At 38.0% G+C, this 26,461-nt stretch overlaps 1 protein-coding gene across 7 annotated transcripts in view, besides 1 other annotated feature; it reads left to right on the top strand.

The window, feature by feature from the left end:
- Positions 1–26,461, top strand: part of CAMKMT (calmodulin-lysine N-methyltransferase) — a 410,646-nt gene that overhangs the window by 740 nt on the left and 383,445 nt on the right. For all 7 annotated transcript variants that reach the window (XR_939723.2, XR_007081736.1, XR_939722.3 and 4 more), the window contains exon 2: positions 10,030–10,202. Coding sequence is in view for 4 of the 7 variants with exons in the window: in NM_024766.5 (NP_079042.1) it covers positions 10,030–10,202 (173 nt within the window). In the remaining 3 variants the exon portion in view is untranslated. The remainder of the gene's footprint in view (positions 1–10,029; positions 10,203–26,461) is intronic.
- Positions 19,791–19,991: a silencer, noted in NCBI's record as "peak3688 fragment used in MPRA reporter construct". NCBI's record gives its function as "represses an SCP1 promoter by STARR-seq MPRAs in K562 erythroleukemia cells {active_cell/tissue: K562}" and the evidence as "EXISTENCE:reporter gene assay evidence [ECO:0000049][PMID:32103011]".

A 26,461-nucleotide genomic window follows, 5' to 3' on the forward strand; every position in this document is an offset into this window, starting at 1 on the left:
CACTGAGGTCTCAAAGTTAAATGATTATCTTGTAGTTTGTAGTGATCAGCGAGATTCTCCGTGTCCAAGGTGGGCTAGTCAAAGTGTGTTCGTTTTTGAATGATGGTATCTTCTGGTACTTCAAAGTTTCTGCTGTTACTTACAACTCCACTCGTGCAAGCTTGACGGAAGTTCTGATTTATGATCACTCACATTCTTCGCTCACTTCTTGAAGTGAAGTCTGGTTATTGTTTTTGCATAGCAGTGTTATGCCTCTGCCTGAAGTTTTCTGCCGAAAACTTTACTCAGGAGGACATTTTTCCATTTCTGACAGTTGTGTTTGGAAAAGAGTTTCCCAGCTATTGCCACTTTACTTGAGATTGTGCTTTTAGTATTTTGGGGATCACTTTGTTTGCAGTTGCCTTGAGTCACCTTTTCATACAGTGGTCTTTTAGTGCTTTTAGAGTTATGAGTTAAGTAGATCATCAGAGTTAATTAAGATTTATTTGCTGATACATTGACAGTCTTTCCAGACCAGTAATGATCTGGTTTTGCTATTGTTACAAATGGTATTACAGGATAAGAAAATGCATGTCCTCACAGATCATCATAGGAAGTATCTATAATAAAGTAAATATCTAATTTTTTTTAATAGTGACCACTGAAATGAGATCTGGCGTGAGCTGGGGAGAGTGGACTCAACCCCCCTTCCCCCCTCCTTTTTTTTTGAAATGGAGTTTCCCTCTTGTTGCCCAGGCTGGACTGCAATGGCTGCCATCTCCGCTCACCACAACCTCCGCCTCTAGGGTTCAAATGATTCTCCTTCCTCAGTCTCCCCAGTAGCTGGGATTACAGGCATGCACCACCACGCCTGGCTAATTTTTTTTTTTTTTAAGTAGAGACGGGGTTTCTCCATGTTTGTCAAGCTGGTCTCGAACTCCCCACCTCAGGTGATCCACCCACCTCGGCTTCCCAAAGTACTGGGATTACAGGCATGAGCCACCGTGCCCGGCAACCCCCTTCTTTTTTTTTTTTTTTTTTCGATACAGAGCCTTACTGTGTTGCCCAGACGTGAGTGCAATGGCGCAATCTCGGCTCACTGCAGCCTCCGCCTCCCTGGTTCAAGCAATTCTCCCGTACTCAGCCTTCCGAATAGCTGGGATTACAGGTGCTCGCCATTACGCCCAGCTAATTTTTGTGTTTTTAGTAGAGACGGAGTTTCGCCATGTTGGCCAGGCTGGTCTCAAACTCCTGACCTCAGGTGATTCACTTGCCTCGCCTCCCGAAGTGCTGGGATTACAGGTATCAGCCACCATGCCTGCCACGCCCACCGCCCCCACCCTTCCTTTTTTTTTTTTTTTTTTTTTTAAATAAGATAGAGTCTTGCTTGTTGCCCAGGCAGGTAACTCCTGGGCTCAAGCAATCCTCCCACCTCAGCCTCCTGAGTAGTTGGAATTACAGGGGTATGCCATGATACCTGGCTTTCAGTGATTCTCAGTATAGTAAAAACTACAGCACTTATGTTCATTCTAAATTGCGGTCTAAATGAAAACAGTGACAAGTTTCAGCTGTGGCTGTTACATGAAGTCCCCACACGTTCTGACATCGAAACTTTTGGTATATATCTGCCTGCTTATAGTCTTTTTATCTTCTCTACTTGGTGAATGATTGTTCATTCTTCACACTTCCATTTCAAACTACTCTTCTGTGAAGCCACCCCTAATGCCTCTGGGCTAAGTTAGACCCTCAGCCAACTCTACCAATGAGCCCTTTATATTATTTTATGATCATGTGATCAGGGTCTCTTTTTCTTACTAGAATGGGCATTCACCCTGGGAAAAGGTGATGTTTTATTAATTTACATCCTCTGCACCTAGCACAGGGCCTGGTTAATTGATTTTTAGTAGATGTTGTTCAGTGTCTGTGGAAAGCCTGAGAGTAAGGACAGTCTTTAAGTGGCGCATAGCACCTAGTCCTTAGTGTATTTTATCAGTAAGCTATTGCTAAGTAAGAACCGCAACATCACAGTGGCATACAACAGTTAGTATTTATTTTGTTGGTGCATCTGGGGGCCACCTGGGAGCTGACCGACATAGGCTGTAGTCATCTGGGTATCTCTATGATGCACATGTGGTCCATATGTCTCTAATCTTTGGACTAGTGGGCTGAAGTCCTCATGGTGATAGCAGAGGTATAAGAGCAAGCCCAACCACAGAGACACATTTTAAACCCCTGCTCACATCATGTGTTTATTTCCTATTGGCCAAAGTAAGATATTTGGCAAAGGCCAAATTCAAGGGGCAGGGAAATACAACTCCTTCCTTGGAGGTGACAAAGAGGAAGTGAATATTTTTCTATTACAATTTAATCGATCACATATATTAAACATTTACAAGCTCTTAGTAAATGTATTTCAAATGAATGAACCATTCCTATCCTATATGCATCTAGTACTGGAAAACTATAAGGAATCTAAGCAGTGCTAGAGATATGTGACTCCTTTTCTCGCTCGTGGGACATCTGAAGAACATCTGCTCTGTCTACTTGTTTTTTCCTTTAAAATTCTGTCTTTCCATTACCCTATAGAGCTCCAAGGCTGTCTCATGGCCTTTTACTTTATGTTAACTATTCAGTATTTTCTGTGTTTTGTAATTAACAAAACATAGGTTTTGAGAGAAAACCTGGTTGACCTAGTGCATCATTTGGTTCCAGGTTACATGGTAAGTTGCCAAGATTTGAGTCAAGCGAGTACTTAAATTAGATGAGGTCTGGAAGATGATGAATCAATATCAGTAGAGGTTATGGATGTTGTTCTGTTTTCCTCTTTGTTGAGTCTCATTACATGTTGACGAAGATGGCCACTGGCAACTCCGGGCTTTCATATCCATCCAGCTAGTAATCCAGAAGAAATAACTCTTTTCCCCAACATCCAAATCATTTCCTCCAAAGGACTCTGATAGGCCAAGGTTAGACCAATTGCTGTGTCCAGAATGGGGCACTTTGGCTAACCTGGGTTATCAGCCTACCCTGTGGCAGGTAAGGTAACAACCTCACTAGAATTACATAGAGTGAGAGAGGGGCAGTTCCTAAAAGGAGGCAATGTAGGGCAGATGAAAAAGTAGCAATGACTGTTACACACGTATTTACAAACCACCTACCGAATGAAAAATGTTGCCTAGAGGTATGAATACTTGGCTGAAGAATCTGATTATGGAATATTTCACAGTTCAGTTTATATCAAAGCAGGATGCTTTTTCCTGGATTGGCTAATTGAAAAAGTTGGTTAAGAGGTGAATTGTAATAACGATACATATTCCAAGTGAAGTTATTTTCTGAGTGTCAAATCTTTCTAGGTATTTGTAATTCTTCAAATGTTTATAGTTGGCTTCCAACACCTAAACTGATAGTAAACTTTTAAGCAACTTACCTTTATCTTTCTCAAACATTCAACTTGGCTTTTAGGGTAACGTTAACTCCCTTTCAGCTCTATGTTATTAGTTTTGTAATATTTAATTAATGACAAGTTAAATATTTAATTGATGACAAATTTAATTTGTTATTTTGAAGAATAAGTAGAATAAAAAGGTTTGTGAAGAAGCACAGTTAACTTGGCAAGCATACAACTTGACACTGGCGTCAGATGCATCTAAGTCTTGATCCAGTCCTAGGTCTACTACCACGTACTGGATGCTCTTCACTGATCTATATCAAGTATTTAGATTGTTTTGGAATGTATTTTTGTTTCACCTTTATTCTTGACTTTGTTTTATATGCTTACTTTTGCTTTCTCTTTTTCTTCATAAATGTTATCTTGTTGTATTGTTCATCTTTTTAAGCCATCTTGAATCCTTTTGGTAATAGTTGTCATATAAGTCTTCCATAAGTTGTTGGAATTTGGACAACTTTTTACTTTCTAACCTCAGTTTTCTCTTCACTTAATGGGAGTGATAACACATACTTTGGAAGGTTGTTTTGAGTATTTGAGATAATATTTGTAAAATGTTTAGCTTGGAATCTGCCACATCATAGACTCAAAATAAATAGCAGCTATTGTTATTATTATTATTATTATTTGAGACAAAGTCTCACTCCATCATCCAGGCTGAAGTGCAGCAGTGTGATCTCGGCTCACTGCAACCTCCATGTCCTGGGTTCAAACGATTCTTGTGCCTTAGTCTTCTGAGTAGCTGGGACTACAGGTGCACACCACCACGCCTGGCTAATTTTTGTATTTTTTTTGGCAGGGATGGGGTTTTGCCATGTTGCCCAGGCAGGTCTCGAACTCCTGAGCTCAAGCAATCTGCCCACCTCAGCCTCCCAAAGTGCTGGGATTACACGTGTGAGCCACCATGCCCGGCCTGTTGCTGTGTCTTAAAAACGGGAAACACTATAGCTTCCGCATGTAAAGGATAAGGTTTTCTGGTTTTTACTTGCATCCCTGAGCATAGATTCATATATAAATATAGGGATTCAGAATTCTGTTAACTGTCCTTTTAACTGTAGGGTAACTGGAATTGGCCATTTTTGTTGAGTGGATCCCAAATGTCAGTATCTACAGGTCTTTTTTTCTTGTTCCAATATCCGAGAAAGGAAACCTGGTTAAGTATCCCTAATACAAAAATTAAAGATCTTAAATGCTTCAATATCCGAAACTTTTTGAGAGCCGACATGTTGCCACGAATGGAAAATTCCATGCTTGACCTCATGTGACAAGTCGCAATTAAAATACAGTCAAAACTTTGTTTTATGCATAAAATTATTTTAAAAATTATATAAATTGCCTTCAGGCTATGTGTATAAGGTATATATGAAAAACAAATGAATTTCATGTTTAGACTTGGGTCCCATCCCAAGCCTTCTCTTTATGTTTTGCAAATATTCCCAAATCCAAACAAATCCAAAATCTGAACAAATTCAAAATCCAAAACACTTCTGGTTCCATTTTGGATAAGGGGTACTCATTCTATATTGCACTCTCCTCTCTGGCAGGCAGATATAAGACTAGCTGCCTATTATCTGGAAGCTAAGTGAAGGAAAGGGATATTGATCAGAATGAAGAGCCTGTTATACTACTTTAAGCTGTACTCGATGTTTAAGATCAGAACTGTTACTCATCTTCTCTAGAAATGTATCTATCAAAGTACCATTGTGGGGAAGTGTAGTTGCCTGGTGTTGATGATGTAATCAGGGCATCTAGCTACTCTTCTAAAAGATTTTCAACCAATACTTTTGTGTTTAGCCTTACTCCTCTACCCATCTGGTCTTCATAAGTGTTTCTGTATAGTTATGATCAGTTTAGTTAGTTCTGGAGTAAACAAACATTTCAGGTTAATAAATGGGTCTTTGACTTCCATTGTGTTCAGTTGCATACGTTGTTTACCTAATGGGTTTAGGGACCTTAGGACTTGATGTCTTTTTTTTCTTCTTCTGATACTTAATCTTTTGACATGAACTTATTTGGTATATAGCATTGATATTTGACTAAATAGCTCATTGACTTACTTAGGAGAATGAGAAAATGCCTTGACTATTCCTTCACCCCAGATAATTTCATTTGAATATTATTTAATTATATAACATGGGTATTTGAAGGAGGTCTTCTAAAAGTGGTAGATGATAAGGTTATAACTTGATGGGAGATTTGAGCATCCCTTCAGTTCATTAAACTACCAATATTATTGATGGCCTTAAAATAACTGAATCTTCTTTTTAAAGCAATGTCAAAAGTAATTTGACTTGATCTCCTATTGCAATTACTTTTACCTAACATGGATTATATAAATGTCTTATTTGTTCTAAATATGTTGCCTGTTACTTTCATTGAGTATTAGCTTGTTGTCGTATTGTCGATCATGTAGATCACGTTGTCATACTGTAGATCATGCAGATCATACTAAACTATGTAAGCCCCTTCCAGTATTATACATGTGGTGACTTAAATTATTTTTTACATTAGCGGTTTATGGTACCATTACCTTGACATCAGAGTACCTTGGTGCCATTACCTTGACATCAGAGTAATTTAGACTATTAAAAGGTATTTACTGTTTGGAGTTTAATTGGGCAAGATTGAAGATAATTTATAATGTCTACATTTTATATTTTTAAAAATTTAATACTTTGTTTTTTCCTAAGAGTAAGCTCTGTTGAGTAGTTTGTTTTTCTTCCTGTTGCCCATAGTTGACAGACTATAATAAGACCCTGTATTATTATTATTATTTTTAAACAGAATCTTGCTCTGTTGCCTGCGCTGGAGTGCAGTAGTGCAGTCTGGCTCAAACAATTCTCATGCCTTCTGTGCCTTCTGCCTCCCAGGCTCAAGCAGTTCTCGTGCCTCAGCCTCTCAAGAACCTGGGATTACAGGTGCATGCCATGCACCACCTAATTTTTGTATTTTTAGTAGAGATGGGGTTTCATCATGTTGGCCAGGCTGGTATCGAACTCCTGGCCTCCAGTGATCTACCCACCTTTGCCTCTGAAAGTGCTGGGATTACAGGCATGAGCCACCATGCCTGAACAAGACCCTGCTTTTGATTAAGTCTTTTAAACAATTAAAAATAAAGAAAACCTTCAAAGAGAGACTACCTTTTCCGATCCTCCATTTAAAAAACTAACCTTCTAAAACTTCTACATAGTATATAAAATTTAAACATTTTTCCTATGAAATATATTCATACTGATATATTTTCTTGATTATTTTGATCTCAGTTTGCCCTTCTACACATAAGAATTATGCATCTTTGGAATAAGTGTTCCTTTTTTGAAAATAGAAACCACTCTAGCTACTTTAAGCAGAAATGGGTTTAGCATAGTGAATTAAGTGCTTACAAAATCACTGGAGAAACAGTCTAAGAGTGAATCCCAGAACAACAGAGTGCCAGAACAGTATAAAGCTGCAACTGGCCAGCCAAGTGAAATACTACCTCTACCACAATAAAGAACCTGAAGCTGTCTCCAGGATTATATCACTTTAGCTGTGATCTTTGGTGAACAGGAAGCTGCTGTGCCATAACTATAGATTCTAGAAGCAAAGTATGCCATAACTATAGATTCTAGAAGCAACCAGGAGAAGTGATGCCACTTGTGCTCCCTCTCACTCTCCATTAAATTAGAGAGTCAACACTGGAACCTCTGTTAAAGCTGCTTCAGAAAAACCAAGTATCTTTACAACTATTCTAAGCAGCACAAGTTGGTTGTGAATTATAGTTAACACCATCTTTCCTTGTTTCAAATCTCATGTTAGTGCATCTGATTAGTTAAACCAAAATCACATCTGAAACTTTGGCTGCTACGGATTCCAGGAAATACAGCTTCTAGCTTTCCAACTCTATAAAATAGAAAGGTATCTTGGAAGCTGGAATGGATAGGTGATGCCGGTTTATCATATTCTCTACAAGCAGAGGTGTTAAGAGTTTAGGGTCTGTAGTCAGGCAGCCTGGATTTTAACCTTGGGTTTGACTCTTGTGAGCTCTCTGACGTTGGGCAAATTGCTTAACTGCCCTGTGTTCTAGTTTTTTCTCTCACGTAGTAGGTATCTATCCCATAGTGTTGTTTGAGTATTTAATGAAGAATGTGGTAAGACTTGCATTAATTCTTACTCAGACATGTAATGTAATTTTCTTGTAAGCAATCTGGGCCTGGAGTTTTCTTTGTGGTAAGTTTTATATTTATGAATTCAGTTTTTGAAATAGTTTAGACTATTCGGATTTTCCGTTTCTTCTTGTGTCAGTTTTAGTAGTTGTGTTTTTCTAGGAATTTGTCCATTTCATCTAAATTTTTAAAGTTAGTTTTCATAAATATCCCTTTATTATTATTTTTTAATGTCTGCAGGATTTATAGTAACCTCCCTGTATCACATTGATAGTTCTTCCTTTTTTCTTATTAGTCTTATTAAGGATTTATCAGTTTTATCAATCTTTTCAAAGAAACAACGTTTAGTATTATCGATCCTCTCTCCTGTGTTTGTTTTCTACTTCATTAACCTGTACTCTTTTAGGGATCTATTTTGCTTATTTTTCAAATTTTTGCAATGAATGCTTATTAACTTTTGGCCTTTCTGTATTTTTTTCTGTAAGCCTGGATTTAGCTGCATGTCATATGTTTTGAAATGTATTTCTATTGTCATTCAATTCAAAATACTTTATAATTTTCTTTGTTTTTTCAGAGATAGAGCCTCACTCTGTTCCCCAATTTGGAGTGCAATGGCTTCATCATTGCTCACTACAACCTCAAACTCCTATGCTCAAGCAATCCTCTTGCCTCAGCTTCCTGAGTAGCTAGGACTACAGGCAGACACCACCACATCCTACTAATTATTTTTATTTTAAAATTTTTTTGAGGCAGAGTCTCGCTGTTGTCAACCAGGCTGGAGTGCAATGGCACAATCTCGGCTTACTGCAACCTCTGCCTCCTGGGTTCAAGCGATTCTCCTGCCTCAGCCTCCCCATCAGCTGGGATTACAGGCCCCCGCCACCACACCTGGCTAATTTTTGTATTTTTAGTAAGGATGGGGTTTCACCATGTTGGCCAGGCTGGTCTCAAACTCCTGACCTCTGGTGATCTACCCACCTCAGCCTCCCCAAAGTGCTGGGATTACAGGCGTGAGCCACTGTGCCCAGCCTATTTTTATTTTTTGTAGATATGGGGTCTTGCCATGTTGCTCAGGCTGGTCTGGAATTCCTGGCCTCAAGCAGTCCTCCTGCCTCAGCCTTCCAAAGTGTTAGGATTACAGACATGAGCCACTGCACCTGGCCTATAGTTTTTATTATGTGTTCTTTTTCTGTTTCACAGGTTATTTATAAGTACATTGCCTAGTTTCCAAATATATTTGGCTTTTCAAATATCTTTTTCTTTATTTTTGTTTGCTTATGAGTCTGAAGTTATTTTATATCTAAGATTTTTCTATCATGGGAAATATAAAACATATATAAAGCTAGAGAGAACAATACAATAATCATTCAGGTACTGATAAGCTTCAACACTGTTAACTCATGAACAGCTGTGTTTATTCTCACTTCTCCCATTGCCCCACCACCATTATTTTGAAGCAAATCTCAGATGTCATTTTTTCTTTAAATATTTCATTATGAACTTATAAAAATGACATTAAAAAATCACAATACCACATCAACCCAGAATAATTAATTGATGTCATGAAATATCTGATCAGTTTTCAAATTTTCCCCATTTTGTCATAATTTTTCTTTATAATTTGATTATTTTGGAGGAGGATCCAAATAAAATCCAAGCATTATTATTGGTTGATATGCCCCACACTTAAAAACCTGGCTTTTAGCAACACCAGCAAAATTATTCATTATGCTAAAACATACATACCTTGCATACTCAATATACCTCCCCATTCCTAGGTAAGCTTTGAAATTCAACTTTTCTCTCCTAGCTCCATAGGTTGTTAAAGAAGCAGCTTATCTTCTTGGTTCTTTCTTTTAGAATTGACACATATCCCCAGGAGAAAAGTGGTTGCAAAAGTCAGAGTAACCTTTGTAGGTTTTCTCCTTTTAAAGATATAAGACTGCAAGCCAAGTGCTGTGGCTCACTTCTGTAATCCCAGCACTTTGGGAGGCCAGGGTTGAAGATCACTTGAGCCCAGGAGTTTGAATCCAGCCTGGGTAATATAGGGAGACCCCATCTCTACAAAAAATTTAAAAAATTAACCAGACGTGGTGGTGCATACTTTTAGTTCCAGCTGCTAGGGAGCCTGAGGTAGGAGGATCGCCTGAACCCAGCTGGGTGACAGGCTGGGTGACAGTGAGGCTGCGTGACAAAGTAAGATCCTGTCTCAAAAAAAAAAAAAAAAGATATCAGACTTGTAAATCTTCACTGTCTTTGCTCTCTGATGTCTTCAAGTAATGCTTTAAAATATTTTGTTCATCTTTTATAGTTATCTTCAGTAGGAGATATATCTGAATTATCTAATCTGTCATTATTAGAAGGGAAAGTCCCCTTACCACTTAAATTTTGAACATTTTGAACACTAAACTTACTATATGTTTAGATAACATGACTGCAATATTTGGCTTTATTTCAAAGGTTCTGAAGCAAAAACACCTGGATGATTGCCTGCGACATGTATCTGTAAGAAGATTTGAATCATTTAATCTGTTTTCAGTAACAGAAGGCAAAGAAAGGGAAACTGAAGAGGAGGTTGGTGCATGGGTCCAATATACAAGCATCTTCTGTCCTGAATACAGTATCTCCTTAAGGTAACCATTATTCTAGTTAAGATTTTGTAAACACTAGATTTCTCTTGGATAAGAAAAACAATCTAATAAGAATCATCATTATTTATTCTATTGAGTTTACGGGCAATCTTTTTCAGAACTTAGGTTTTACAACTTGTTTTAGGAAATCCTGCTATTTTAACTGGGTCTTGCTGTATTATCAGACTAAAGGAAACAAGTTCTCACAAATATAGTGGCATTTGAAGATAAGGTGGTTGCAAATCAAAGGGTTCATTTAAACATTCTGTCATAACATTTGTTTATGACAAAAAGCCATGTTTGTTCTGAGGCAAAGAAGGGGCTGAAAGTGAAAACAGAATTTTTCCAAACTACCCTTCAAGTAATAATCTGAAAAATCAAGCTTTGGTATTTTTTCCATTTATTTATTTTTTTATTACTTTCAGAATAGAATCAATCTTAAGACTAAAGGAGAAAATTCAACTGAAAACACTGATATTGTAAGAAGCATATGGACTGTTCTGACTTTAAAAATCATTAGAAAAGAGACAAGAGAGTTACAGACTGCAATAACAAGATACCATTTTACTGAATTAATTTTCTCTCACAGTTATGTTCTAGCATGTTGCAATATTACTGTAGGTGTTTGATTTTATAAAATCTGCCTTTTCTGACAGTATTTCACATTTTGAAAGGGAGGGAGGAGCACATTTACAGTAACTGTAAGAAGAGCAAAAAACATTTTAAGTGTAAATGTGACTGAATAAGGTTTAGGTGAGGCTAGGAATAATTTTAAGAAAAAAATTTTCACAAAGGGTATCTTTTTATAGTATATGTTTCTCGAGCTATTTTAGTTTAGAATATCTAAGCTTTAAAACATAATAGCTAAAAATTGGGATTTGGATAAAAATTGACTAGGTTGGGCAGGAAAGAACAATTAGAATCTGGTTTTATAATACTATTTTACTGAAAATGCCGGCTGGGCGCAGTGGCTCATGCCTGTAATCCTAGCACTTCAGGAGGCCAAGGTGGGTGGATCACTTGACCCTAGGAGTTCAAGACCAGCCTGGGCAACATGGCAAAACCCCACCTTTACAAAAAATACAAAAATTAATTGGGCATGGTGGCATGTGCCTATGGTCTTAGCTACTCCAGAGGCTGAGGTGGAAAGATTGATTGAGCCCGGGAGGTTGAGGCTGCTGTGAGCTGTGCCATTGCATTCTAGCCTGGATGACAGAGTAAGACTCTGCCTCAAAAAAAAAAAAAAAAAAAAAAAAAATCAAAGTAAAGAAAATGCCAAATAAAATATATAAACTTACAGATTTTGGGGTGTACCTGTACATTAATTATGAGATTCTCATTAGGATACCCCAACTGCTTTGCCTTTTGATGGAGATAATCAGTTTTGTCCTTGGTTAGAAAGGAAAGAAAGGTATATGCTTACTCTGTGTCAGGTACAGAGCTAGGTGTTTTGATGTATTCCATTTCAAGTGATCCTTACAATAACTTTGTGAAGCAGGAATGGAAATGATTAAACATTTAGAAGGAAATGAAAGACAAGAAAGGACAGAGTGATCCAGTAGGGGTCTTTAGGTATAAAGTTCTAAAACTTATCTTCTGCATCCACTGGTGAAAAGAGACAATAAGTATAAATTATAGCAAGAATAATTTCCTGACATCTTCAAGGCCCTGGTAAGGGTTAGCCAGTGAGAATGTGAAATAGTCTCTTCTTGAGATCTTTCAAAGCAAGTCATGGTTATCCACTTGTAGAGATGATCCTCATGTAGTACTATCCAGAGCCCAAGCTATAGAGTAAACTGGGACTCCTTTCCAACAGCATTGTTCTTTGTGATATATCTTCTTGTGATATATGAAAGAATAAATGTATATCTATACAAATATGACATTGAGTTGGAAAAAAGACACGTGACTGAGCTAAAGTGTTGGCTTCATTGGCTGCCAAGATTTTTTTTTTCAAACTAGTTAGTATCTGTCCACATTAGTGCAAAAATAACAGTACTTTGGGAGGCCGAAGCAAGACGATCACTTGAGGCCAGGAGTTCAAGACTAGCCTTGGCAACATAGGGAAACCCTGTCTCTACAAAAAATTTTAAAAATTAGCCAGGGGTGGTGGTATGTGCTTGTAGTCCCAGGCACTCAGGAGGCTGAGGCAGGAGAATCCTTACAGCCCAGGATTTCAAGGCTGCAGTGAGCCATAATCATGCCACTGCACTCCAGTTTGGGCGATAGAGTGAGACCCCTTTAGGGATTACAGGCTTGAGCCACCATGCCTGGCCAGGGTTTCTGTTTTTTTTTTGTTTTGTTTTTTAATATTACTTGGAATAGCCCAAAGCAGTGGTTTAGAAGTAGTTTTGCAATGAAGTGGAGTACTCTCATCTTCCTCTATATTTTTTAAGTTTGTTTAATCAGCAGTAATGATGATTGAAAAAAAAGGGATGAATAGTGTTAAATTCAAACCAATAAATATTTAATAGCACCTTCTATATATATATAAAAAAACAGAAATAAATATAAATATACAATACTATGCTTAAGGAGCTGAAATAGATAAAAGTTAAATAATAAAAATAATTAAATAAGGAAAGTTAACTATTCAGTGTAAGAACTCTCACCAGGCTGTGCATAAGTACTTTCAAAATGAGTGGAATACTCACACTTAATAGAAGTTTAGAGGTAGGAGTGAGTTTTGGAAATGATTTTTAAAAAAACTGGATCTGGAAGTACTTGAAAGTTCTGGGAGAAGGGGATGCCCAGATGATGGCAAAGATACTAGAAAATACACAGGGTAAGAAAGAGCAAGACAGAATCATCAGAGGCTACTGAGAAGAGGCCATTGCAGTCTTTAGCTGGAGGAATGATTATCAATATATATTATATGGTGGATCTGCTCCAGGTTCTTGGTTTTTTTTTTCTTTTTAGAGAAGGAGTCTCAATCTGTCACCCAGGCTGGAGTGCAGTAGCCCATTCTCAGCTTACTGCAACCTTTACCTCCAGGGTTCAAGTGACTCTCCTGCCTCAGCCTCCTGAGTAGCTGGGATTACAGGTGTGTGCCATCACACCTGGCTAATTTTTTTGTATATTTAATAGAGACAGGGTTTCACCATGTTGGGCAGGCTGGTTTTGAACTCCTGAAATCAAGTGATCCACCTGCCTTGGCCTCCCAAAGTGCTGGGATTACAGGTGTGAGCCACCACGCCCAGCCTGCTCCAGGTTCTATTAAGGGGCTAAGCATTGGAGATTTTGGGCTGGGCACAGTGGCTCATGCCTGTAGTTTCAGCACTTTGGGAGGCTGAGAAGGGTGGATCACTTGAGCCTAGGAGTTTGAGACCAGCCTGGCCAACATGCTGAAACCCTGTCTCTACTAAAAATACAAAAAAAATTAGCTGGACATGGTGGTTCATGCCTGTAATCCCAGTATCCCAGTTACTCGGTGGCTAACACATGAGAATAGCTTGAACGTGGGAGGTGGAGGTTGCAGTCAGATGAGATTGTGCCACTGAACTCCAGCCTGGTGACGAAGTGAGACTCTGTATCAAAAAAAAAAAAAAAAAATAGACACTGGGGATGTTACAAGTTCCTCACAAATCATAATTGTAAACCCCATTTTCACTTTCTCAGTTCTTATCGCCTAAGATCACCTGCCACAGCTTAACAGAGATAACACACACAGGGTGATCAGCACTTGTTATCAATACCTATTAGTTTTGTCTATCTTAAACTTTTGCTACCCATTCATTTCTGTCTCCTTAAAGTTTTATTAGAGTTGAAGTGAATACCCCCAAGAGGGTTAATGCCTAGGTATTTGTGAATTCAAAATACCTAGTTGTATCTTGTTTATATAAGCAGTGACCTTAAAAACTTTGACCATTATTTTCTGTCAGCCTTACATGATAATAATTAAAATGAAGGAATAATTTTCCCTTAGTGACTTTTCATCTGAAGCTAAAGTTTAAACAATGTAAAAGTTAGGTTACAAAACTCCCAAGGTTTGTTGTCGTCTTTGTCTACCTGTGGATGGTGACTCTTTGTTTCAAATTACGTGTTGAGAGTTATGAAATGAAAATCCAGGGTATGACTCCTGGATTTTGTTCCTTGACAAACTATTCTTGCCTTTCTGGTACTTTCTTTCTTCCTCTTTTTTGAGACGGTCTCACTCTGTTGCCCAGGCTGGTATGCAGTGGCATGATCATAGCTCACTGAAGCCTTGACCTCCCAGGCTTAAGCAATCCGCCCGCCTTAGTCTCCCAAGTGGCTAGGACTACAGTTACATGCCACCATGCCCAGCTAATTTTTGTATATTTTGTAGAGATGGGGTTTTGCTGTGTTGCCCAGGCTGGTCTCAAACTGCTGGGGTCAAGGGATCTGCCTGCCTTGACCTCCCAAAGTGCTGGGATTACAGGCGTAAGCCACTATGCCTGGACTTTGGTACTTTGTTTCTTAGAACTTTGTAGAAGAGGCTCTTGTTATTAGATAGATGCAAGTATATAAGCTAAGAGACACCAGGAGATGTTTATACCAAAATTCTTTGATTAAAATTTCCTTTTCCCTATCTCATAAACTATAATATATTGTTGTATAAAGCTTGCTGTGTAGATACAAGAAATTGTTCCTATCTCCCATATTTCAACTTAATTCCAGCACAGCAGGAATTTGCATATTCTGGAAGCTTTAAATTGCTTCCATTATATATGGAACCATAGAAGTGCCTGAGTTATTCATTTATAAGTGTATACGTGTCTTAGGTATAGAGAAAGCTGAGAGGCCTGAACTGTCCTTCTTTGTTTGAAGAAGACTACTGTTACTATGGTAATTGCTGAATTAGAAGGCTAGAACTCTTGACTTTTGCCTTGTCCTGGGAACTTAGAATGGGCAAAAAGTCAAGAATGACTTTGTCTTTGACTGTGTTGCATCTTTCTATTATAACAAATGCACTACACCGAGATCATACCTTCCATTTCTAGGGAAAGAAAAAGACAAACCAAACCCTCACCTCATTATTTTAGTTATATAGCTTGTGAATGTTCAGTAAATAAAAACTAGTGATTAGATGGTTTGCTTATGAAATTAGATGTATGGCAGATTATTTTTGTATGTGTAGTATAACCTAGGTACGTATATAGAGCTTGGCGAGGCTGGCATCTAAGACAAATACGAATACTGCATCTATATTTAAAAGCATAGTTTTATTGTTAGTAGTGATATTAACAACAGAGGTGATTATAGCAATAAAACAACGTTTTTTAGGACCTTTAAAATATGATCCGTAGTTTCCAGAAAACTGTGAATTCCATTGTGTCACATTTTTATGGATCTTAAATCATAGATATGGGCTAGTATAACTTAGTTTTCTAATTTGTTTTAAATTTCATTGCAATTTTTTATGTAACGTGCTTACATATAAATATACTGTTTCAGTAAATTGAAATGTTCCCTTAAACATTTTCCAAATCCCAATATAGTACATGTAGAAACCATCTACTAATTTCCTAAAACCCATGAGACTGGAAAACATCTCTTTAGCTATTTTTAAAATTTGTAATTTTTAAGCACTTATTTTTGAAAGAACTCCAAAGCATCTAGAATTAAGTTTGTTTGTTTGTTTGTTTGTTTGTTTGTTTGTTTGTTTTGAGACAGAGTCTTGCTCTGTCACCAGGCTGGAGTGCAGTGGTGCAATCTTGGCTCACTGCAACCTCCGCCTCCCGGGTTCAAGCGATTCTCCTGCCTCAGCCTCCTGATTAGCTGGGACTACAGGCATGTGCCACCACGCCCAGCTAATTTTTGTATTTTTAGTAGAGACGGGGTTTCACCATGTTGGCCAGGATGGTCTCGATCTCTTGACCTCATGATCCACCCACCTTGGCCTCCCAAAGTGCTGGTATTACAGGCGTGAGCCACCGCGCCTGGCCTAGAATTAAGTTTTTAAAACCTTCTGAAAACCTCTCCTCTTTGTTCTTCTGCAGCCTTTTAGGACCCACTCCACTCTCTGGCTTACTTTGTATTTTTGGATCAATTTTCTTTTACTCACAATACAATTTACATAACAAAATTTGCTATTTTAATCACTTTAAAGTATGCAATTCAGTGGTTTTAAGTATATTTACAATGTTGTACAGCCTTCACCACTATTCCAGAACTTTTTCATTACCCTGAAAAGAAACCCCATATACATTGGCTGTAACTCCCCATTCTCCTTCTTCCTCTAGTCCCTGGCAACCAGTACTTGACTTTCTGTCTCTATGTGTTGTCTGTTCTGGACACTTTATGTAAATGGAATCCTACAATATGTGGCCCTGTATGTCTGTCTTCTTTCACTGAGCGTAATCTTTTTAAATTTAAGATTCAGCCATATTGTACCACATAACAGTACCTCATACTTTTTTTATGGCATCCCACTGTATGGCTAATGTATTTTGTTTTTTTCATCAGTTGATGAACATTTGGATTGTTTCTAATTTTGGGCTATTATGAATAATGCCACTATGAATATGCATGTACAAGTTTTTGTGTGAACATATGCTTTTAATTCTCTTGGGTATGTACCCAGGAGTGGAATTGCTGGGTCATGTGGTATCTCTATGTTTAACTTTTTGAGGAATAGCCAACTATTTTTCATAGGGCTGTACCATTTTATATTCTAGGAATGTATGAGTGTTTTAGTTTCTCCCCATACTTATCAGTGAAGCACTTGTTAATTTTTCTTCTTTTTTAAAAAATATTACAACCCTTATAGTGGATATGAAGTGATATCTCACTGTGGCTTTGATATGCATTTCTCTATTGTCTAATGATGTTGAGTATCTTTTCATGTGCTTATTGGCCATTTGTATTTTTTTTCTTTTTTTTGAGAAATGCCTATTCAAGTTCTCTGCCTGCTTTTTTTTTAATGTTTTATTTTCTTTCCAATGGGACTTTTGCACTCCTGTCTTTGTGTTTTTAATTGAGCTGTCTCTTTTTATTGTCAGAGTTATTTTTATATATTCTGGATATTAGACCCTATCATACATGTGATATTTGCAAATATTTTCTCCTAGCCTGTGCATTTTCTTTTAACTTTCTTGATATGTAGTATCTTTTGATGCACAAAATTTTTAATTTTGATGAGGTGTAACATGTCTATTTTTTCATTTGTTATCTATAATTTTAATGTCATATTTATCCATGGCTTGCTTTTCACCTCTAGTTTCAACCTCTTGGCATGTTTAGGCTTCAGATTTTTCCTCTAGCAGCTTTTCTTTTTCCCTCTTCAAATAATTATCTGCCCCAATGACTCGTTCCTCAGTCCTTACTCAGCAGGCCATTTTTAGGAAGAAACTCAAAGTTCCTCAGTTCTAGGATAGCTTTAGGTGCTTGTGAAAAAAATGGTTTGGCCCTGGGGAGAAGAATCTGGCCATTGTTAATGGTTTGGGATAAAGCTTTGAAGTTTAGGACAAAGATAGAGTGAACTTTTTATACTCTGAGTATGTTGGCAAAAAATCGTAGTTGTCACATAACATTAATTACAAGTATAATGCTAAGACTGAAGTTTTTAAGAATTTAAGTTTGAGCAGTTTCTTTTGTTATAGGCATTACTAGCGAACCACAGAGATCAGACAGGACCTAGGTAAATAGTTGAAAAACTAAGACTAGACAAGAGCTTGTAGACTTGACGCTTGAATAAAGTAGATGACTCAGTGAAAAAGAACAGTCCTTAAGTTTGGAACAAATGAAATGGAACTTGAAGTAACCAAACTGAATCTTTGTCATACTATATTGATAGCAGTTTTCCTATAATTAGAACTAACTTCTTATAGTTTTGAAAATAGTGATTATTAACATTATTCTTTCATAAGATGCCATCTTTTAGGGTTTTTAAACCCTGATAACTTCATGGATAATTGATTTCATTTTTATAAGTATCTTAGAGGTATAGGATGAGGTTTACTGTTTCTCCACTGCCTACCCCCTTAAAAAGGTCATATGGTAAGCATTCTGTTTCTTTAAGAAATAATGCTTTCGGCCGGGCATGGTGGCTCACACCTGTAATCCCAGCACTTTGGGAGGCTGAGGTGGGTGGGTCACGAGGTCAGGAGTTTGAGACCAGCCTGGCCAACATAGTGAAACCCCATCTCTACTAAAAATACAAAAATTAGCCGGGAGTGGTGGCAGACACCTGTAATCCCAGCTACTCGGGAGGCTGAGGCAGGAGAATCGCTTGAACCCGGGAGACAGAGGTTGCAGTGAGCTAAGATTGCGCCATTGCACTCCACCCTGGGTGACAGTGCAAGACTCCATCTCAAAAAAGAAATAATGCTTTCCAGAATGACAAGTTTTGCTTCAGTGATAAGTTGAAATCAAATTTTTTATTTTGAATAGTGTTTTTAACTTTTAAAACATGTACTTAACTTCTATTATCTCAGTTTGTTTTTTAGAAATTAAAAAAAATTACCATTATTACAAAATATGTGCATGTTATTTCTACTTGTTTCAGATTTAATTACAAGTATTTATTTCATCCTGATATATGAGAGACAGAGAGGGAGAGAGACAGATGCAAGAAGAAGAGAATATTCTTATTAAAATTAGGCCATAAAACAATTCCACTTTTAGCAATGTATCTTAAGTAAACAATCAGAAATAGATTTGATGTTTTCCACAAGAATGTTCACTGCAGCAGTGTGCACAATAGTACAAAATTGGGCACAATCTTAAAATCCAACATAAAGTTCTGGTTCAATAAATTATGGTGCAGACATCCATTGAACTTGGCAGCCATTAAAATCATATTATGGGATATTACTTAATGATGTGGGAAACTGTTTATAATACATACTTTGTTATAATTGGTGAATAACAAATTGCAAAACAATATGGACAAGTGCTTTCAGTTCTTTAATAAAAGGAATATGTGAACATAGAATAAGATTTGAAGGCTGCGTACCAAAATTCTCATGTTATCTCTCCATGTTAGGATTATGAGCAGTTTTTTCTTGAAGGAACCGTATATTGCTTTTATATTAAAACTTTTTTTGGATTTCAATACTGTATTGTTGATAATTTTAATAGTTTTATCTTACACTTTTTTTTTTTTTTTTTTGAGATGGAGTTTCGCTCTTGTCACCCAGGCTGGAATGCAATGGCACGATCTCGGCTCACAGCAGCCTCTGTCTCCTGGGTTCAAGCGATTCTCCTGCCTCAGCCTCCTGAGTAGTTGGGATTACAGACGCCTGCCACTACACCTGGCTAATTTTTGTATTTTTAGTAGAGACAGGGTTTCACCATGTTGGCCAGGCTGATCTTGAACTCCTGACCTTAGGTGATTCTACCTGCGTCAACCTCCTAAAGTGCTGGGATTATAGGCGTGAGTCATCTTGCATTTTGGAGGTTAAATATTTTGCTCATTTTCATCTTTTCTTAGTATTTACTGTAGTTTTCCATATTAGTGTAAATAACCTCATCTCTACCTAGAATCTTATAGGCCCAGAGAAGACAAAGAATCATTATGTTATTATGATTGTTTTATTTGTGATTGGTGACTTTGTTTTTTCAGATTATGATACTTTGGGGCCTAGTGCTTATTTGGTCAGTCATATTGCAAATAACTTTTTTCTTTTTCTTTTTCTTTTTTTTTTTTTGAGACAGAGTCTCGCTCTGTCACCCAGGCTGGAGTACAGTGGCGCGATCTCCACTCACTGCAAGCTCCGCCTCCCGGGTTCATGCCGATCTTCTGCCTCAGCTTCCTGAGTAGCTGGGACTACAGGTGCCTGCCACCACGCCCAGCTAATCTTTTTGTATTTTTAGTAGATACAGGGTTTCACTGTGTTAGCCTGGATGGTCTCGATCTCCTGACCTGGTGATCCACCCGCCTTGGCCTCCCAAAGTGCTGGGATTACAGGCGTGAGCCACCACGCCCGGCCAACTTTTTTCATCTCATTTAATTACCCTGTCAAAGGACTGGGCCTCTGTGGCAGAAATAAAGAAAAGCTCTATTTTTATGGAAAGGGTAATACAGTTTACACGTATTCTCTTACTATGTTTTAGTTTGCTTGGCTGCCAAAACAAAACACCACATACTGGGGGGCTTAAACAAGAGAAATTTAGTTTCTTGCAGCTCTGGGAGCTAGAAATCTGAGATCAAGGTGTTGGCAGGTTTGGTTTCTTCTGAGGCCTCTTCCCTTTGGCTTGCAGATGGCCGCCCTCACACTGCCTTTTCGGAGGCCATTCCTCTGTGCATGCATGACCCTGATGTCTCTCTGTGTCCTACCTCCTCTTTTTTTTTTCAGTTGATAATTTATTTTATTTTATTTTAGTTTTATTTTTTGAGGCAGAATCTCGCTCTGTCACCCAGGCTGGAGTGCAGTGGCGTGATCTCAGCTCACTGCATCCTTCACCTCCCAGGTTCAAGCAATTCTCCTGCCTCAGCCTCCCGAGAGGCTGGGACTACAGGCGCATGCCACCACACCCGGCTAATTTTTGTATTTTTATTAGAGATGAGGTTTCACCATACTGGCCAAGCTGGTCTCAAACTCCTGATCTTGTGATCCGCCTGCCTCGGCCTCCCAAAGTGCTGGGATTACAGGCATGAGCCACTGCACCTGACCCCTTTTTTTAATTTGTAATTTCAATTTTCATTTTTTTCCATAAGTTATTGGGGTATAGGTGGTATTTGGTTGCATAAGTAAGTTCTTTTGTGGTGTTCTGTGAGATTTTGGTTCACCCATCAGCTGAGCAGTATACAGTGTACCATATTTGTTTATCCCTTGTACCCCTCCCACTCTTCCCCGCAAGTCCCCAAAGTCCATTGTATCATTCTTATGCCTTTGCATCCTCATAGCTTAGCTCCCACATATCAGTGAGAATATATGATGTTTGATTTTCCATTCCCGAGTTACTTCATTTAGAATAATAGTCTCCAATCCCATCCAGGTCACTGCAAATGCCCTTAATTCATTCCTTTGTGTAGTATTCCATTGTATATATATATATACCACAGTTTCTTTATCCACTCGTTGATTGATGGGCATTTGGGTTGGTTCCACGATTTTGCAATTGTGAATTGTGCTGCTATAAACATGAGTGTGCAAGGGTCTTTTTCGAATAATGACTTATTTTCCTCTGGGTAGATACCAAGTAGTGGGATTGCTGGACCAAATGGTAGTTCTACTTTTAGTTCTTTAAGGAATCTCCACACTGTTTCCATAGTGGTTGTACTAGTTTTCATTCCCACCAGCAGTGTAGAGGTGTTCCCTGATCACAGCATCCACGCCAGTATCTATTGTTTTTTGACTTTTTGATTATAGCCATTCTTGCAGGAGTAAGGTGGTATTGCATTGTGCTTTTGATTTGCTTTTCCCTGATCACTAGTGATGTTGAGCATTTTTTTCATATATTTGTTGGCCATTTGTATATCTTCTTTTGAGAATTGTCTATTCATGTCCTTAGTCCACTTTTTGATGGGATTGTTTGTTTTTTTCTTACTGATTCGTTTGAGTTCGTTGTGGATTCTGAATATTAGGCCTTTGTCAGATGTTTAGATTGTGAAGATTTTCTCCCACTCTCTGGGTTGTCTGTTTACTCTGCTGACTGTTCCTTTTGCTGTACAAAAGCTCCTTAGTTTAATTAGATCTCAGCTATTTATCTTTTTTTTTTTTTTTTTTTTGCATTTGCTTTTGGGTTCTTGGTCATGAAATCCTTGCCTAAGACAATGTCTAGAAGAGTTTTTCCAATGTTATCTTCTAGAATTTTGATAGTTTCAGGTCTTAGATTTAAGTCCTCAATCCATCCTAAGTTGATTTTTTATAAGGTGATATGAGTATCCAGTTTCATTCTCTGCATATAGCTAGCCAATTATTCCAGCACCATTTGTTGAAAAGGGTGTCCTTTCCCCCACTTTTTGTTTTGTTTACTTTGTCAAAGATCAGTTGGCTGTAAGTATTTGGATTTATTTCTGGTTTCTCTATTCTGTTCCAGTGGTCTCTGTGCTTATTTTTATATCAGTACCACGCTGTTTTAGTGACTGTGGCTTTATAGTATAGTTGAAATCAGGTAGTGTGATGCCTCCAGATTTGTTCTTTTTGCTTAGTCTTGCTTTGGCTATGCAGGTTCTTTTTTGGTTCCATATAAATTTTAGAATTGTTTTTTCTAATTCGGTGAAGAATGATGGTGGTATTTTGATGGGGATTGAATTGAATTTGTAGATTGCTTTTGGCAGTATGGTCATTTTCACCATATTGATTCTACCTATCCATGAGCATGGGATGTGTTTCCAATTGTTTGTGTCGTCTGTGATTTCTTTCAGCTGTGTTTTGTAGTTTTCCTTGTAGAGGTCTTTTGACGTCTTGGTTAGGTATATTCCTAAGTATTCCTTTTTTTTTTGCAGCTGTTGCAAAAAGGGTTGAGTTCTTGATTTGATTCTCTACTTGGTTGCCGTTGGTGTATAGAAAAACTATTGATTTGTGTACATTAACCTTGTATTTGGAAATTTTGCTGAATTCTTTTATCAGTTCTAGGAGCTTTCTGGAGGAGTCTTTAGGGTTGTCGAGGTAAACAATCATATCATCAGCAAACAGTGACAGTTTGACTTCCTCTTTACTGATGCCCTTTCTTTCTTTCTCTTGTGATTGCTCTGGCTAGGACTTCCAGTACTATGTTGAAGAGCAGTGGTGAGAGTGGGCATCCTTGTCTTGTTCCTGTTCTCAGAGGGACTGCTTTCAGCTTTTCCCCATTCAGTATTATGTTGGCTGTGGGTTTATCATAGATGGCTTTTATTACATTAAGGAATGTCCCTTGTATGCCAGTTTTGCTGAGAGTTTTAATCATAAAGCAATGCTGGATTTTGTCGAATGCTTTTTCTGCATCTATTGAGATGATCATGTGATTTTTGTTTTTAATTCTGTTTATGTGGTGTATCACATTTATTGATTTGCATATGTTAAGGCATCCCTGCATCCCTGATATGAAACCCACTTGATCATGGTGGATTATCTTTTTGATATGTTGTTGGATTCAGTTAACTGGTATTTTGTTAAAGATTTCAACATCTGTGTTCATCAAGGATATCAGTCTGTAGTTTTCTTTTTTGGTTATGTCTGTCCCTGGTTTTGGTATTAGAGTGATGCTGGCTTCATAGAATGAATTAGGGAGGGTTTCTTATTTCTTTAGCTTGTGGAATAGTGTTAAAAGGATTGGTACCAATTCTTCTTTCAATGTCTGGTAGAATTCTGCTGTGAATCCATCTGGTCCTGGACTTTTTTTTGTTGGTAATTTTAAAATTACCATTTCAGTCTCGCTGCTTGTTATTGTTCTGTTCAGGGTATCTAATTCTCATGCTTTACTGACTGGGCTAGCTGGGTGCCTCAGGGTATCTAATTTTTCCTGATTTAAGCTAGGAGGGTTATATTTTTCCAGGAATTTATCCATCTCTTCTAGGTTTTCTAGTTTATGTGTGTAAATATAGTAGCCTTGAATGATCTTTTGTGTTTCAGTGGTGTCATTTGCAGTATCTCCTGTTTCCTAGTGAGGTTATTTGGATTTTCTCTCTTCTTTTCTTGGTTAATCTTGCTAATGGTCTATCAATTTTATTTATCTTTTCAAAGAACCAGCTTTTTCTTTCATTTGTCTTTTGTATTTTGTTGTTGTTGTTTCAATTTCATTTAGTTCTGCTCTGATCTTGGTTATTTTCTTTCTTCTGCTGTGTTTAGGTTTGGTTTGTTCTTGTTTCTCTAGTTCCTTGAGGTGTGACCTTAGACTGTCAGTTTGTGCTCTTTCAGTCATTTTGATGTAGGCATTTAGGGCTATGAACTTTCCTCTTAGCATCACCTTTGCTGTATCCCATAGATTTTGATAGGTTGTGTCATTATTGTCATTCAGTTCGAAGAATTTTTTAATTTCCACCTTGATTTCGTTTTTGGCCCAGTGCTTATTTAGTAGCAGGTTATTTAATTTTCATATATTTGCATGGTTTTGAAGGTTCCTTTTGGAGTTGATTTCCACTTTTATTCCACCATGGTCTGAGAGGGTGCTTGATATAATTCCAGTTTTCTTAAATGTATTTAGGCTCGTTTTATGGCCTATCATATGGTCTGTCTTGGAGAAAGTTCCATGTGCTGTTGAATAAAAAGTTTATTCTGCAGTTGTTGGACAAAATGTTCTGTATGTATCTGTTAAGTCCATTTGTTCCAAGGTATAGTTTAAATCTATTGTTTCCTTGTTGACTTTCTGTCTTGATGACCTGTCTAGTGCTGTCAGTGGAGTATTGAAGTCCTCTACTATTATTGTGTTGCTGTCTATCTCATTTCTTAGGCATTAGTAATTGTTTTATAAATTTGGGAGCTCCAGTGTTAGGTACATATATGTTTAGGATCGTGATATTTTCCTGTTGGACAAGGCCTTTTACCATTATGTAATGTCCCTCTTTGTCTCTTTTAACTGCTGTTGCTTTAAGGTTTGTTTTGTCTGATATAAGAATAGCTACGCCTGCTAGTTTTTGGTATCCATTTGCATGAAATGCCTTTTTCCACCCCTTTAAGTTAAGTGTGAGTCCTTATGTGTTAGATGAGTCTCTTGAAGGCAGCAGATAGTTGGTTGGTGAGTTTTGATCTATTTTACGGTTCTGTGTCTTTTAAGTGGAGCGTTTAGGCTATTTACATTCATTGTTAGTATCGAAATGTGAGGTACCCTTGCATTAATTGTACTCTTTGTTGCCTGAGTACTTTGTTTTTTTTTGTTTTTGCTTTTTAACTTGTATTTTTGTTTTATAGGTCCTGTGTGATTTATGCTTTAAAGAGGTTCTACTTTGATGTGTTTCCAGGATTTGCTTCAATATTTAGAGCTCTTTTTAGCAGTTCTTGTGGTGGTGGCTTGGTAATGGTGAATTCTCTCAGTATTTGTCTGAAAAAGACTGTAATTTCCTTCATATATGATGCCTACTTATATGATGCCTTGTTTCACTGGATACAAAATTCTTGGCTGACAATTGTTTTGTTTGTTTGAGAGGCCCCAGTCCCTTCCGCATTGTAGGGTTTCTGCTGAGAAATCTGCTGTTGATCTGATAGGATTTTCTTTATAGGTTACCTGGTGCTTTTGCCTCACAGCTCTTAAGAGTCTTTCCTTCATCTTAACTTTTGATAATCGATGGCAGTGTGCCTGGGTGATGATCCTTTTGTGATGAATTTCCCAGAGCTTCTTGTAGTTGGATGTCTAGGTCTCTAGCAAGGCCGGGAAAATTTTCCTTGATTATTCCCCCAAATATGTTTTCCAAGCTTCTTCCTCAGGAACACCGATTATTCTTCAGTTTGGTCATTTAACATAATCCCAGACTTCTTGGAGGCTTTGTTCATATTTTCTTATTCTTTTTCTCTTTGTTGGATTGGGTTAATTTGAAGATCTTGTTCTTGAGCTCGGAATTTCTTTCTTCTACTTATTCAATTCTATTGTTGAGACTTTCCAGAGCATTTCACATTTCTAAAAGTGTGTCTGAAGTTTTCTGACATTTTGACTGTTTTTTCTTAATGCTATCTATTTCCTTGAATGTTTCTGCCTTCACTTCTTATATTGTTCTTTTGGATTTGCTTGCATTGGGCTTTGCCTTTCTCTGGTGCCTCCCTGATTAGCTTAATAACTAACCTCCTGAATTCTTTTTCAGGTAAATCAGGGATTTCTTCTTGGTCCGGATCCGTTGCTGGTTAACTAGTGTGATTTTTTTGGGGGTGCTAAAGAGCCTTGTTTAGTCACATTAACAGGGTTGTTTTTCTGGTTCCTTCTCATTTGGGTAGGCTCCGTCAGAGGGAAGGTCTAGGGCTGAAGGCTGTTGTTCAGATTCTTTTGTCCCACTGGGTGTTCCCTTGATGTAGTACTCTCCCCGTTTTCCTATGGATGTGGCTTCCTATGAGCAGAACTGCTGTGATGTCTCTCCTGGGTTCTAGCTACCCAGTGAGTCTACCTGGCCCTGGGCTGGTACTGGAGGTTGTCTGCACAGAGTCCTGTGATGTGAACTGTCTATGGGTCTCTTAGCTGTGGATACTAGTGCCTGTTCTGGTGGAGGTGGCGGGGTGGGGGGTACAATGGAGTCCGTGAGGGTTCTTAGCTTTGGTGGTTTAATGCTCTCTTTTTGTGCTGGTTGACCTCCTGCTGGGAGGTGGTGCTTTCCAGAGAGCATCAACTGTAGTAATACGGAGAGGAACTGGTGGTGGGCGGGGCCCTAGACCTCCCAAGAGTATATGCCCTTTGTCTTCAGCTACCAGGCTGGGTAGGGAAGGACCATCATGTAGGGGCAGGGCTAGGCCTGT

Source organism: Homo sapiens, chromosome 2 (assembly GCF_000001405.40).
Source record: "Homo sapiens chromosome 2, GRCh38.p14 Primary Assembly".
NCBI lineage: Eukaryota > Metazoa > Chordata > Mammalia > Primates > Hominidae > Homo > Homo sapiens.